At 39.9% G+C, this 16,005-nt stretch overlaps 1 protein-coding gene and 1 pseudogene across 2 annotated transcripts in view; one reads left to right on the top strand and one right to left on the bottom strand.

The window, feature by feature from the left end:
- Nucleotides 1–16,005, top strand: part of CYP4Z1 (cytochrome P450 family 4 subfamily Z member 1) — a 62,794-nt gene that overhangs the window by 17,457 nt on the left and 29,332 nt on the right. For both annotated transcript variants that reach the window (XM_024453856.2, NM_178134.3), the window contains 4 exons: nt 7,642–7,686; nt 9,353–9,480; nt 11,639–11,763; nt 11,843–11,997. In XM_024453856.2, coding sequence (XP_024309624.1) covers nt 7,642–7,686; nt 9,353–9,480; nt 11,639–11,763; nt 11,843–11,997 — 453 coding nt within the window. The remainder of the gene's footprint in view (nt 1–7,641; nt 7,687–9,352; nt 9,481–11,638; nt 11,764–11,842; nt 11,998–16,005) is intronic.
- On the bottom strand, nt 1,797–2,998 carry TUBAP9 (tubulin alpha pseudogene 9; annotated as a pseudogene).

Raw genomic sequence — 16,005 nt, forward strand, 5'->3', positions numbered from 1 at the left:
TCAGGGACACTAAGTATATTCACAGTGCTATCCACCTATCATCTCTGTCTAGTTCCAGAATTTTTCATCAGTCCAGACAGAAACCTCATACCAATTTTAAGCAGTTATTCCCCATTCCTCCCTTGCCCCAGTCACTGGCAACTACTAATCTGCATTTTTGTCTCTATGAATTTACTTATTCTGGATTTTTCATATAAATGGAATCACACAATATGTGACCCTTTGCATTTTGCTTTTTTCACTTAGCATAATGTTTTCAAGATTCATACATTTTGTAGCATTGTTTCTTTTCATGAATTATATTCTACTGTATGAATATACCACATTTTGTTTATGCATTCATCTGTTAATAGACCTTTGAATTGTTTCAACTTTTGGCCATTATGCATAATGCTGATTTCATAAAAATGAAAAGCTTTTGTGTGTCAAGGGCCACTAAAAGCAACCTGTGCCTCCTGGGTTCAAGTGATTCTCCTGCCTCAGTCTCCCAGGTAGCTGGGACTACAGGCGTGCACTACCAAACCTGACTAATTTTGTATTTTTAGTAGAGATGGGGTTTCACCATGTTGGCCAGGCTGGTCTCAAACTACTGACAAGTAATCCACCCGCCTCAGCCTCCCAAAGTGCTGAGATTACAGGCATGAGCCAACGCACCAGGCCAAGACCAATTTTATTTTAATTTGCATTTCCCTAATGACTGAATATCATCTTATTGTTTGCCCATTGATGCTGAATATCATCTTATTTGTTTGCTGGCCCATTGTTTATCTTTGGAGATGTCTATTCAAGTCCTTTGCCCGTGATTAATTGGGCTGTCTTTTTATTGTTCAGTTGTAATAGTTTTTAAATATATATAGTACACAAGTTTTTTTATCAGATATATGATTTGCAAACATTTTCTATTATTTTGTGGTTTGTCTTTTAACCCTTTTAGTGGCCCTTGATACACAAAAGCTTTTCATTTTTATGAAATCTAACTTATTTATTTTTCCTTTTGTGGCCTGTGCTTTTACTATCATTTTTAAGAAACCATTGCCCAGTCCAAATTCATGAAGACCCTCCCCTATTTTTTCTTCTAAGAGTTTTATAGTTTTGACTCTTATACATAGGTCTTTAGTCCTTTTTTTGGGTGAAAGAAGCCTAAAGTAGGGGCATTTGTTTATTTATTTATTTATCTTTTATTTTAGATTAAGAGGTACATGTGCAGGCTTCTTACCTGGGTATACTGCATGATACTGTGAAGTTTGGGGTATAAATGATGCCATCACCCAGGTGCTGAGCACAGTACCCAACAATTAGTTTTTCAATCCTTGCCCCCTTTCCTTCCTCCCCCACCCCAGTAGTCCAGAGTGTCTATTGTTGCCATCTTTATGTCCATGAGTACTGAATGTTTAACTCCTACTTAAAAGTGAGATCATGAAGTATCTGGTTTTCTGTTCCTACATTAATTCACTTAGGATAATGTCCTGCACCTGCATCCATGTTGCTGCAATGATGTGATTTCATTGTTTTTTTCCCCCTTTGGTACATTTTTAGTTAATTTTTGTATATAGAGTGAGATAAAGGTACACTTAATTATTGTGCCCACAGGTATTTAGTTTTCCCAGCACCATTTCTTGAAGAGACCATTCTCCCCATTGAATGGTATTTGCATCCTTGTTGAAAATGAATTGACAACAGATGTATGGGTTTATTTTTGGACTCTGATATCTACACTTAATGGCAGTACCACATTGTTTTGGTGACTATAGCTTTGCAGTAAGTTTGAAATCAAGGTGTATGAGTTCTCCAGCTTTGGCAGGCTTATCATACATCAGGTCAAACTTGTGGTCCAGGCAAGCCCAGGCCTCAGCAACTGCTGTGGTGTTGCTCAGCATGCACACAGGTCTCTATACCTTGACCAGGTCTCCACCAGGTACCTCACTGGGGGGCTGGTAATTAATACCAACCTTAAAGCCAATGGGATGCCAATCCACAAACTGGATGGTAGGCTTGATCTTGATGGTGGTGATGGCAGCATTGACATCTTTGGGGACCATGTCCCCATGGTACAACAGGCAGCAAGCCATGTATTTACCATGGCAAGAGTCACATTTCACTATCTGGTTGGCTGGCTAAAAGCAAGCACTGGTGATCTCTGCTACAACAAGCTGTTCGTGATAGGCTTTCTCAGCAGAGATGGTGGGGGAATATGTGGCCAGAGGGAAGTGGATGCAGAGACAGGGCACCATTTTGGTCTAGACTTCTGTCAGATTAACTTTCAGGGCTCCATCAAATCTGAGGGAAGCAATGATGGAGGACACAATCTGGCTAATAAGGCAGTTAAGGCTAGTATAGGTTGGGCATTCAATATTGAGGTTTCTCCACAGATGTCATAGATGGCCTCATTGTCTACCATGAAGGCACAATCAGAGTGCTACAGGGTGGTATGGGAGATGAAGATAGAGCTATACAACTATAGCTGTGGAAATATGGGGGGTTGGGTATGCGGAGAACTCCAACTTGGACTTCTTGCCATAATCAACAGAAAGAACATTCCACCAGCAGAGAAGTGAACCCAGAACAAGTCCCCTCACCAAAGCAGTAAAAAACCAAGAAGTTCTGAAGACCTGTGCACTAGTCAACCAGCTTGCAAATTCAGTCCAAGATGAGGTCAATATAATCCCCTTTCCTATGCAAAAGTGCCCTCAAGTATAGTTATAGGCAGCATCTTCCTTGCTTGTGATGAGCTGCCCAGGGTGGAAGAGCTGGAAGTAGGTGCCAGTGTGAACTTTGTCAATGACCCTGGGTTCAACATCTACAAACACTGACCTAGTCACATGGTTGGCAGCACCTGTCTCACTGAAGAAGGTATTGAAGGAGTTATTTCCTCCCACACTAGTCTTGTCTCTTGGCCTTGCCATCAGGCTAGAGGCCATGTTCCAGGCAGTAGAGATCCTAGCAGGAACTGCCAATCTGGACATCAGCCTAGCCAACATGGAGATGCACTCACCTATGACAGGGACCTGTAAGGTTCTGCAAGGCTGAAGGAGGTGAAGGGACAGCAACAAGGATCTCCCACTAACAGACCACCATGGAGTCCAAGGGAGTAGTCCATAGTGTCCTCTTATAATCCTTTTATTATCTGTAATAATAAGTTGATAGTAACGTTCCCACTTTCACTTCTGATTGTAGTAACTTGATTCTTCTCACTTTTCTTCATAGTTCATCTAATTAAAGTTTTGTCAATTTTGTTAATCTTCTCAAAGAAATAACTTTTTGTTTGTTAATTTTTTTCTATTGTTTTTCCTGCTTTTATTTTATTTACCTCAGCTCTAATCTTTATCATTTCCTTCCTTCAGTAGCTTTGGGTTTCATTTGCCCTTCTTTTTCCAGTTCATTAAAGTGTACAGTTAGGTTATTGATTTAAGGAATTTATTTTTTAATGAAGACATTTAAGCTATAAAAATCTCATTAAGCACTGCTTTTGCTGAATCCCATAACATTGGGTAAGTTGTTTTCATTTTCATTTGCCTCAAAATATTTTCTAATGTCTTTTATGATTTATTCCTTGTCCCTTTGGTTGTTTAAGAATGTCTTGTTGGCCGGGCATGGTGGCTCACGCCTGTAATCCCAGCACTTTGGGAGGCCGAGGCGGGTGGATCATGAGGTCAGGAGATCGAGACCATCCTGGCTAACACAGTGAAACCCCGTCTCTACTAAAAATACAAAAAATTAGCCGGGAGCGGTGGCGGGCTCCTGTAGTCCCAGCTACTTGAGAGGCTGAGGCAGGAGAATGGCGTGAACCCAGGAGGCGGACCTTGCAGTGAGCCGAGATCGCGCCCCTGCACTCCAGCCTGGGCGACAGAGCCAGACGCTGTCTCAAAAAAAAAAAAAAAAAAGAATGTCTTGTTTAATATTCATGTTTTGTGAATTTTCCCGTTTTACTTCTGATATTGATTTCTAGTTTTATTCTATGGAGAGGTATTTTTGTATGATTTCAATCTTTTTAAATTTATTGAGACTTTTTTTGTGACTTACCATATGATCTATGCTAAAGAATGACCCATGTGTACTTGAGAAGAACATGTAATCTGCTGTTGTTAGGTGGAGCTTTTAGAACATGTCTGTTTGGCATAATTATAGTGTTGTTCAAGTTCTCTATTTCCTTATTAATTTTTTGTATCATTGTTCTGTCCATTATTGAAAGGGATGTAGTGAATTCTCCAATTATAATTTTAGAACTGTCTATTTCTCCCTTCAATGCTGTCAGCTTTTGCCTCATATACTGTGGGGTTCTATTGTTAGGTATATATTTATATATTATAACTGTTATATCTTCTTGATGGATTGACCCCTTAACAATATATAATGTCTTTCTTTGTGTCACAATATTTTAAGGTATAGTTAACTGATAATCACCCAGCTCTCTTTTCCTTACTGTTTGCATAGAATACCTTTTCTACCCTTTTACTTTTAACCTCTTTGTTTCTTCAGATCTAAAGTGAGTCTCTTGTAAGCAGCATATTAATGGGTCCCATTTTTTTACTCCATTCTGCCAGTCTCTGCCTTTTAATTGAAGTTTAATCCATTTACATTTAAAATAATTACTGATAAGGAAGGACTTATTTCTAACATTTCACTGTTTGTTTTTTATATGTCTTATTTTTTTTTTTTAGAGACAGGGTCTTGCTCTGTCACCTAGGGTAGGGTGCAGTGGTGTCATCATAGCTCACTGCATCCTCTAGCTCCTGGGCCCAAGTAATCCTCCCACTTCAGCCTCCTGAGCAGTTGGAACTACAGGCCTGCACCACTATGCCTGGCTAATTTTTTCTTTTGTATAGACAAGGGTCTCACTATGTTGTCCAGGCTGGTCTCAAACTGCTGGCTTCAAACAGTGCTTCCCCCTCAGTCTCCCAAAATGCTGAGACTACAGGTGTGACCCACTGTGCTCAGCCTGTCATATATATTTTATGTTCCTCACTTCCTCCATTACTGCCTACTTTGGTGTTTAATTGATTTTTGGTTTTTGGTATGGTAACATTTTTATGTTACTCTTCTCATTTCCTTTTCTGTATATTTTCAGTTATTTTCATAGTGATTAACGTGAGATTAAAATTAATATCTTAAAGCTATTGGAAATTTTCAACCATTATTTCTTCAACTTAGTTTTCCCTCTTTGCTCTTCTGGGACTCCAATTATGCATATGTTAGTATGCTTGATGGTGTCTCACAGGTCTCTTAGGACCATTTACTTTTTCATTCTGTTTTCTATTTCTGCCCCTCAGATTCAACAATCTCAATTGACCTATCTCCAACTTTGATAATTTTTTCTCTGCCTGCTCAAATCAACTGTTGAAACCTTATGAACTTTTTATTTCAGTTACTGTATACTCCAGTTCTAGAACTTTATTTGTTTCTGTTTACAACTTATATGTCTTTGTTAATATTCTCTATTTGTTCATACATGAGTATTTTGGTTTTGTTTCATCTTTGGCCATGGTTTATTGTAGGTCTTTGAGCATATTGAAGACAGTTGATTTAAAGTTGTCTAGTAAGTCCAACGTCTATGCTTCCTCAATAACATTTTCTTTTCATTTCTTTTTCCTGTGCATAGGCCATACTTCCTTGTTTCTTTTACATGATTTGTAATTTTTTTGTTTAAAACTGAACATTTTAAATGTTATGTAAGAAAAAAAGGAATAAAAGAAAAAAAGGTAGGAAAGAAAATAAAAATACTCTCCAGGTCTTTCCTGGTTGGTTCTGGGTTGGGGCACACCTCTAATATTTAATTGGGGCATTTACAAGTTTGCCTTAGCTTTCTCTTTCTTCTTGCACTTTGTGTAAGGACTAGTCAAAGTTGAAAGCCTGTGGTCTTATCAGGTCTTTTCCAACCATGCATCCTACCCTGGGTATGTGTAGGTTCCCTGTTATATGTGAGAACTTTTTAAAGCATTGATTCCAAAACAAAATTCTCATTCCCAGCTTTTCCTTCTAGTTTTTGGTGTGTTTATTATTGCCTCAATTGTTCTTTTTTGTCCCAGGAATCAGTGCTAGTTCTTTTGCCTCTCAATGTTTTTGAGGAACACTTCCCTGCCCTGAGAGAATTCTGAGTTAGGTAAAACATAGGAAAGCCCTTGTCCTTCAGAAAACCCACACAGAAGTCAAAACAAACAAAATTCCTTGAGAACAAGGACCATTCTGCTTTCTCTAGGATCCAGGAAACAGAACCCACTGAGAATGCAGGCTGCCATCTTCAAGATTGCCATGGTACTGGAGAGGGATGTGGGGCAAGGCTAAATTGCAATGCCACCAATCTTTTCTATCCTTTTTCAGTGGTCTTTTTTCTGATTAAGTGTGCACCTGGTTGCTGTAAACAATTAACTGTCTTCCAGAAATCTGCTAAAGTTGACTATAACAGTTTTTGCCAGATAATTTTTGTTTTTGCTTTGGGAAGGGATGGCCCTGGACAGTTCCTAATCCACCATTTTTCCTGATGTCACTCTTAGACATTATTTTTTAGGACCCTGGAATGTCTAGAGTAGAAAGGCTCACACTTATTAGCCTTAAATGTAGACATACATACATTCTTTCCAAAATAGTTTTGGAAACATCCTTAACAATTCTATCAATCTCTTTTACCCATTTCTGAAGAAATGCCAGAATTATCTTCCAACAAGTAGATTAGGAGGATGAGAAAGTGGAATTAGTTAAGAAGGGGTCCCAACTTTTGGTAGGGAAAATAGGGAATACACTTGTGCCTTTAAGTGGATAGAGGAAGAGGAGGCTATCTGGTAGTGAAGGGATAGATCAGGTTTGGATTTGCTGGGGTCCTGAGGTGTCTGTGTGGTACACAAAGGGAAATGTCTAGAGGGCAGTGGTTTTATATTGAAGTCTATGGACAGAGGGAGAGAGAGAGAGAGAGAGAGAATACACTAGGGACTGAGAGAGTGAATGCCATAAGATATCTTCTTACCCTTAGAACTCAAGGTATTTTATAGGTTCATTTCACCTGGACTTTTGCAGAAAGTGAATCTCATGTTAACAATCCTCTCTTTTCCTAGATGTTCATATGTTTTCTCCCCCATTTTTATTTCCCTGTCTTTATCCCACATAAAGATGTTGATGGAATGAATAAAGGACATTAATTCTTGTTTTCCCAAAACTGTAAAACCAAGGTTATGTCCCTTATCTTTTCTTCTGATTCATTTATATACATCTTTCTCAAACAAATCCAACAAGGGTAAAATCTACAATTTATCTCAAAGTCATGTTCCTGTGTCTAGCTGTACATGTCTATGTGAAAAGGAACTGGAGCTTTAAAATGTTGTCAGAGTTCCCCAACAAAAACAAATGTATTTTTTCAACTTATGTTGAAAGAAAATTATACTCTGAAAATTATACAAAGGAAATTATGCTCTGTTTTCCACTGCTATTGACCTCGTAGCACCAAGTGCTGTGGAGAAAGAATAAACAAGTTCTCATTCTAATTCTGTGGCTTCCCTGGGACTCTCGGTACTGAAGAACTAGCCTCCAACCACCTTGCACACTAGCTATTTGTGTTACCCACAAGGAATATGGAAACATACAAAAATTTCCTCTCATTTTAACTCGTGATTTTCACTTAATGCCATCTTTTGCCTCCTTTGTTCTGTTTTACAGATCCCAAAAGTGCTGTTAGCCACAAAATCCTTGAATCCTGGGTTGGTATGTGTATTAGTCCATTCTCATTCTGCTATAAAGACATACCTGAGACTGGGTAACTTATAATGAAAAGAGGTTTAACCAACTCATGGTTCTATTGGCTGTACAGGGTTCTGCTTCTTGGGAGGCTGCAGGAAACTTACAGTTGTGGTGGAAGGAAAAGGAAAAGCAGGCACACCTTCACGTGGCCACCAGGAGTAGGGGTGGAGTGTTACACATTTTTAAACAAGCAGATCTAGGGAGAATTCTATCACAAGAACAGTAAGGGGAAAATCCACCCCCATGACTCAGTCACCTTCCACCAGGCCTCTCCTCCAACACTGAGGATTACAATTTGACATAAGATTCAGGTGGAGGCACAGAGCCAAACCATATCAGTATGTGTGTCTGATCCTTTCTCATCTGAGCCTGGTGGAGGTGGAGGTCGGGGGAGAAATTACTTTCCTGATAGACACGAAATGCTCCTGTCTCCCTCACCTTACCACAACCTACACTCGCTTTTGCTTCAGAAACCTGAGCTCAATCTTGCCTTGTCTTTCATAGCTTCTCCTCTTATTCTACCTGTTTGGGACTGGTCCTTTATTTCTGGTGTAACTAGGGGTAGGGGTGGAGGAATAAGAAGGGGCCCGGGGGGTTGTATGCTCTCCTCCTCACACCAACTGATGTCACTATCCCAGGTAGTCCCCACTTGAGGATCATGGAAAGAGAAGGAGAGTCCCTCAGCCTGCTAACATGGACCTTACTGAGAATGGTGCCCTGGAAGAGGTTGCCATTGTGAAAGTTGCTTAAGATCATTCTCTCTCCTTTTCCCTCCACACTTCCCCTCCCTTTTCTGGGCAACCTGCCTGTGCAGCTAAGCAAGTTCACACCAGAAGATTCAGGATCTGGGTAGTAGCCCCAGATCCCTGGATCAAACGTGCATGGGCACCTTCTCTCCCTCTCCTTAGATTTCCCACCATACAGAGAATTTAAAATATTATTCACCACAAATTTCATTATCAGTTTTCCACAATCTAATTGCCCCTGGAAAATCTTGCTCTTGAGGATCCCTTTGAAAGAATCCACTCTCATAAACTAAGTCTTTTATGAACTCAGTGGAGACCTCAAACCCACTTACCAGCAGGAATGATAAAGAAAAGCCCCTTTAGTCCTCCATCATTGATCCTCAGCCTGAAGAGAAGCACAAAAGTGATGGAAAGAAAGCAGCACCTCTGCTTCAGTCTGGAACTTTGTGCCAGTCTAAGGCAGTATTTCTCAAAGTGTGGACCTGAACTAGCTGGGACCCTTGTCATAACTCAAAAGTCCTTGATTCTACTTCAACACCTAGGAATTATTGGCTCTGAAGGATTAAGCCAAGGAATCTGCCTCTAGCAAGCACCTCGGGCAATTCTCACCCACCCTAAATTTGAACTCTTATCAAGAGGCTGATGAATCTGACCATCAAATAGGATAGGATGGACCTTTTTTTGAGTTCATTGTATAAACAAATTTTCTGATTTGGACTTAATTCCCAAAGGATTAGGTCTACTCCTGCTCATTCACTCTTTCAAAGCTCTGTCCACTCTAACTTTTCTCCAGTGTCATAGATAGGGAATTGCTCACTGCGTGCCTAGTCTTTCTTCACTTACCTGGCCTCTGATAGAAACAGTTGCCCCTCTCATTTCATAAGGTCGAGGACTTGTGACCCTGGATGGTTCTAAATGGAAAAAGCACCGCCAGATTGTGAAACCTGGCTTCAACATCAGCATTCTGAAAATATTCATCACCATGATGTCTGAGAGTGTTCGGATGATGCTGGTAAGAGGAGAAGAGAGCATTCGTACCTGGCCTCTGAAGTGAGGTGCTGCCAGCCATATGGTGTGGGAGACTCTGAGTTCCCTCAGAACCATGTTCACAGCAGTTTATATGGGGTTATTTGATGTTTAGACCATGACCATCATCATCAGGGCAAGGACCCTGTCTTGTATACCCAACACTTCTCACAGGGATGGACTCAGGGTAGGTGCTCAATGAGAAGTAGCTGAATGAATGAGTGAGTGAGTCCAGTAGACTCACTACATTTGGAGAACACAAGGCAGAAGAGCAAAGACACCCATAGGAGTAGCCATGCCAACATAGAGAAATGTATCATGTTCAGGAGGTCGAGTCAGGAAACACTTCCTAAGAAAGGTGACACGAGCTGAGTCTTGGAGAATGGGGAGGATTTCTAGAGATGGGGACTCAGAGAAAAGATGGCCTTGTGGTCAAGGAGAAAAGGGAGCTTTAGCTTTGGCTGAGGCAGAAGAGGGTGCAGAGATGTCACAAGACAATCTAAAACCCATAGAGAAGACACAATTGTGTGTCTCCACACCTGTCCTCTTGGAGTTTGGATGGCAAAGACATGCGAGGTGGTTTTGAGCACACCTAAGGTCCGTTTCAGGGGTCCTGAATGAGGTGATTGCGACAACTCAAAGACTAAGTTTCTAAGATCCCAGGCATGGAGTAAAGCAATTCTATACACAGGATCTCAATCCTAGTCACAAAGACTTCTTAATGATACAGGGGCTCAGAGACATGGGTTCCCCTAAACACGTCAGCTTGGATTCATACTGGCCCCATATTTTCCAGTGTGCCATGTTGTTATCCTTTATGACCCTCGTCACCATGCCCACGTCCCACTCCAAAATAAAAATCAAAGCAAAACATATAAATATAGTGACTGCAAATACTTTTTAAGCACTTACTATGCATCAGGCTTATTATATCCTTTTATACTACTACAGTCTTACAATTTTGCTGTATTATCTCCATTTTGCTAGTAAGGATATTGAGATGCAGAGATTAAGCAGTTTGTTCAAGGTCACAAGGCAGGCCAGGTGCAGTGGCTCATGCCTGTAATCCCAGCACTTTGGGAGGCCAAGGTGGGTGGATGGCTTGAGCCCAGGAGTTCAAGACCAGCCTGGCCAACATGGCCAAACCCCATCTCTACTAAAAATACATGATCATAAGGCAGATTAGAGGAAGAGTTGAGTTCAAACTCAAGCTTCCTTGAGTTGGAAGAGCACACCCTGAACTGATGCACCTCTCTTCGAGTCTAAGGCTCCTTCCTGATGATGCCCCCTTCAGCCTGCTCCAACCACTGCCTCTCCTTGCAATGCCCTTACCCACATCCAAACAGACACCACCCCCATTATCACCTACCTATTGCTCTTTCTCTACTCTTCTTGGCTCCATGACAGTTGCAATCTTTCAGAACATCTGATTTTAGTAACGTGTTTGGAAAAAAGCTTTCAAATTGAATTAATTAATTAATTCACATTACAGAGTTAATAACAGCTTAACAGTGTATAAATATTTATATTGAAATGGAGAACTTCGTCTCAATAAACATTTGGCTTTTGACAAAGTGAAATTTTCTGGGATATTGGCAGGTATGTCCAAGGGGGTAAATAACATCTGAATTCTAATATATAGTTGAGGGTTTTCTGTCTTGACTCTTAACTGCAAACTCTTTGAGAATAAGAACTATCTCTAATTCCTCTCTAAATTCTCAATGGATCTGGGAAAAAACTTGTCAAGTACTAAATATTTTTAGGGATCTTTTCCTAGAATCAAAAACCTCTGTTTATTTATGCTCTCTACAGATGTTTTTGAATTCTTATTTATTTTTTATTCCATGTTTTGTCAGCTTAGTTTTTCCATGATAAAAGTCATATAAATTGTACTAATGAAACTTGAAAAAGAGGGAAAAATAGCTATTTCCCCACCCTTACAAAGTCACAAATAGCATCTAAGGCACAGTATCATTTTCAGTACTGACAAGGTGTTTCATTTTATATGGTTGTCATAATAAGGCAAATTCATTTTGTACGCTTTATATTTTCAAACCCAGCAAGCTCTAAAAGGGACATAAAATAACTTAGAAATTGGGAAAGATGGGCATGTGTATGATCATGATATTCATCCCCTGCCCCAGAACAAATGGGAGGAACACATTGCCCAAAACTCACGTCTGGAGCTCTTTCAACATGTCTCCCTGATGACCCTGGACAGCATCATGAAGTGTGCCTTCAGCCACCAGGGCAGCATCCAGTTGGACAGGTCAGTGACAAAAGGAAGGTAATTGTTTGCCAATAACTGTGTCACCCACTAACATGTTGTTCCATCTTCCCTATTCCAGTACCCTGGACTCATACCTGAAAGCAGTGTTCAACCTTAGCAAAATCTCCAACCAGCGCATGAACAATTTTCTACATCACAACGACCTGGTTTTCAAATTCAGCTCTCAAGGCCAAATCTTTTCTAAATTTAACCAAGAACTTCATCAGTTCACAGGTTAGTCCTGGGATTTACATGGCCAGAGTCCACTATGAGACATCTCATTGTCTGAGACATTGACTCTGGTTATGGCTGCTTCTACTATGGACATATGGCATGGTCATCATTCAGAAATGCTAATTTGTACCTCTTAAATGAATGTGCTACATAAATGCTATGTAGAGGGTATTATATTATTGACTATATATAGCTGTATTTTAATGTTTGGTGTTAGAACTAATACAATAAGCAAAACATCTGTCTATTTTGCTTCATTTCTTATGGAGCAGCTTCAGATGTGAAGAAAAGTAAAAGTGAAAGGAAGTACATTTCTGTAGGAAGACAGAGCAGGACATCTGAGCAAGTACTGAACATGAGTGGGTACTGCCTACTATGCACAGTTCATCAAACAACACAGCACACCACTGAGTATTCCTTTTGCATGGGTTTTTGGGGACTTAGGACATAGATAACTTTGAGGGACCATAAATCTACCTATGACAATAGCCATTTACAATTGGAATATATTTCTGATTTATCATTTTATCTTGATAAAATTGGCCTCTTTTTCTCTAATAATGCTTCTAGTCTTAAGATCTACTCTATCTGCTACTAGTATGATAACCTCTGCTTTCCTTTGGTTAGTATTTTGATAGTATATTATTCCATACTCTTTTTTTTCCATTTCTGTGCCCTTATATTTGCGGTTTATGTCTTTTTTTCTTTTTCTTTTCCTTTTTTTTATTATTATACTTTAAGTTCTAGGATACATGTGCACAACGTGCAGGTTTGTTACATATGTATACATGTGCCATATTGATGTGTTGCACCCATTAACTTGTCATTTACCTTAGGTATATCTCCTAATGCTATCCCACCCCCCTCCCCCCACCCCACAACAGGCCCCAGTGTGTGATGTTCCCCTTCCTGTGTCCAAGTGTTCTCATTGTTCAATTCCCACCTATGAGTGAGAACATGCGGTGTCTGGTTTTTTGTCCTTGTGATAGTTTGCTGAGAATGATGGCTTCCAGCTTCATCCATGTCCCTACAAAGGACATGAACTCATCCTTTTTTATGGCTGCATAGTATTCCATGGTGTATATGTGCCACATTTTCTTAATCCAGTCTATCATTGTTGGACATTTGGCTTGGTTCCAAGTCTTTGCTATTGTGAAAAGTGCCACAGTAAACACACGTGTGCATGTGTCTTTATAGCAGCATGATTTATAATCCTTTGGGTATATACCCAGTAATGGGATGGCTGGGTCAAATGGTATTTCTACTTCTAGATCCTTGAGGAATCGCCACACTGTCTTCCACAATGGATGAACTAGTTTACAGTCCCACCAACAGTGTAAAAGTGTTCCTATTTCTCCACATCCTCTCCAGCACCTGTTGTTTCCTGACTTTTTAATGATCGCCTTTCTAACTGGTGTGAGATGGTATCTCATTGTGGTTTTGATTTGCATTTCTCTGATGGCCAGTGATGATGAGCATTTTTTCATGTGTCTGTTGGCTGCACAAATGTCTTCTTTTGAGAAGTGTCTGTTCATATCCTTTGCCCACTTTTTGATGGGGTTGTTTGTTTTTTTCTTGTAAATTTGTTTGAGTTCTTTGTAGATTCTGGATATTAGCCCTTTGTCAGATGAGGAGATTGCAAAAATTTTCTCCCATCTGTAGGCTGTCTGTTCACTCTGATGGTAGTTTCTTTTGCTGTGCAGAAGCTCTTTAGTTTAATAAGATCCCATTTGTCAATTTTGGTTTCTGTTGCCATTGCTTTTGGTGTTTTAGACATGAAGTCCTTGCCCATGCCTATGTCCTGAATGGTATTGCCTAGGTTTTCTTCTAGGGTTTTTATGGTTTTATGTCTAACATTTAAATCTTTAATCCATCTTGAATTAATTTTTGTATAAGGTGTAAGGAAGGGATCCAGTTTCAGCTTTCTACATATGGCTAGCCAGTTTTCCCAGCACCATTTATTAAATAGGGAATCCTTTCCTCATTTCATGTTTTTGTCAGGTTTGTCAAATATCAGATGGGTGTACATGTGTGGTATTATTTCTGAGGGCTCTGTTCTGTTCCATTGGTCTATATCTCTGTTTTGGTACCAGTATCATGCTGTTTTGGTTACTGTAGCCTTGTAGTATAGTTTGAAGTCAGGTAGTGTGATGCTTCCAGGTTTGTTCTTTTGGCTTACAATTGACTTGGCAATGAGGGCTCTTTTTTGGTTCCATATGAACTTTAAAGTAGTTTTTTTCCAATTCTGTGAAGAAAGTCATTGGTAGCTTGATGGGGATGGCATTGAATGTATAAATTACCTTGGGCAGTATGGCCATTTTCACGATATTGATTCTTCCTACCCATGAGCATGGAATGTTCTTCCATTTGTTTGTATCCTCTTTTATTTCATTGAGCAGTAGTTTATAGTTCTCCTTGAAGAGGTCCTTCACATCCCTTGTAAGTTGGATTCCTAGGTATTTTATTCTCTTTGAAGCAATTGTAAATGGGAGTTCACTCATGATTTGCTCTCTGTTTGTCTGTTATTGGTGTATAAGAATGCTTGTGATTTTTGCACATTGATTTTGTATCCTGAGACTTTGCTGAAGTTGCTTATCAGCTTAAGGAGATTTTGGGCTGACACAATGGGGTTTTCTAAATATACAATAACGTCATCTGCAAACAGGGACAATGTGACATCCTCTTTCCCTAATTGAATGCCCTTTATTTCTTTCTCTTGCCTGATTGCCCTGGCCAGAACTTCCAACACTACATTGAATAGGAGTGGTGAGAGAGGGCATCCCTGTCTTGTGCCAGTTTTCAAATGTAATGCTTCCAGGTTTTGCCCATTCAGTATGATATTAGCTGTGGGTTTGTCATAAATAGCTCTTATTATTTTGAGATACATCCCATCAATACCTAATTTATTGAGAGATTTTAGCATGAAGGGCTGTTGAATTTTGTCAAAGGCCTTTTCTGCATCTATTGGGAAAATCATGTGGTTTTTGTCTTTGGTTCTCTTTATATGCTGGATTACGTTGATTGATTTGCGTATGTTGAACCAGCCTTGCATCCCAGGGATGAAGCCCACTTGATCATGGTGGATAAGCTTTTTGATGTGCTGCTGGATTCCGTTTGCCAGTATTTTATTAAGGATTTTTGCATCAATGTTCATCAGGGATATTGGTCTAAAATTCTCTTTTTTTGTTGTGTCTCTGCCAGGCTTTGGTATCAGGATGATGCTGGCCTCATAAAATGAGTTAGGGAGGATTCCCTCTTTTTCTATCGATTGGAATAGTTTCAGAAGGAATGGTACCAGCTCCTCCTTGTCCCTCTGGTAGAATTTGGCTGTGAATCCATCTGGTCCTGTACTTTTTTTGGTTGGTAGGCTATTAATTATTGCCTCAATTTCAGAGCCTGTTATTGGTCTATTCAGAGATTCAACTTCTTCCTGGTTTAGTCTTGGGAGGGTGTATGCGTCCAGTAATTTATCCATTTCTTCTAGATTTACTAGTTTATTTGCTTAGAGGCGTTTATAGTATTCTCTGATAGTAGTTTGTATTTCTGTGGGATTGGTGGTGACATCCCTTTATCATTTTTTTTTCGTCTATTTGATTCTTCAAATGTGTCTATTTGATTCTCCAATTTTTTTTTGTTTTTTGTTTTTGTTTTGTTTTGAGACAGGGTCTCACCTTATCACCCAGGCTGCAGTGTGGTGGCACTATCTCAGCTCACTGCAGATTCAACCTCCTGGGTTCAAGTGATCCTCCTGCCTCAGCCCCCCAAGCAGCTGGGACTACAGGTGTGTGCCACCACACCCGGCTAAATATTGTATTTTTTTTTTACTAGAGGCAGGGTTTCACCATTTTGTGCAGGCTGGTTTCGAACTCCTGAGCTCAAGCAATTTGCCTGCGTCAGCCTCCCAAAGTGCTAGGATTACAGGCGTGAGCCACTGTGCTCAGCCAAGGTTTATTTCTCATATGCAGCATTTATTTAGATTTTGCTTATGTAGTCTGAAAATATTTGTGC

This window comes from Homo sapiens, chromosome 1 (assembly GCF_000001405.40).
Source record: "Homo sapiens chromosome 1, GRCh38.p14 Primary Assembly".
NCBI classification, from domain to species: Eukaryota; Metazoa; Chordata; class Mammalia; order Primates; family Hominidae; genus Homo; species Homo sapiens.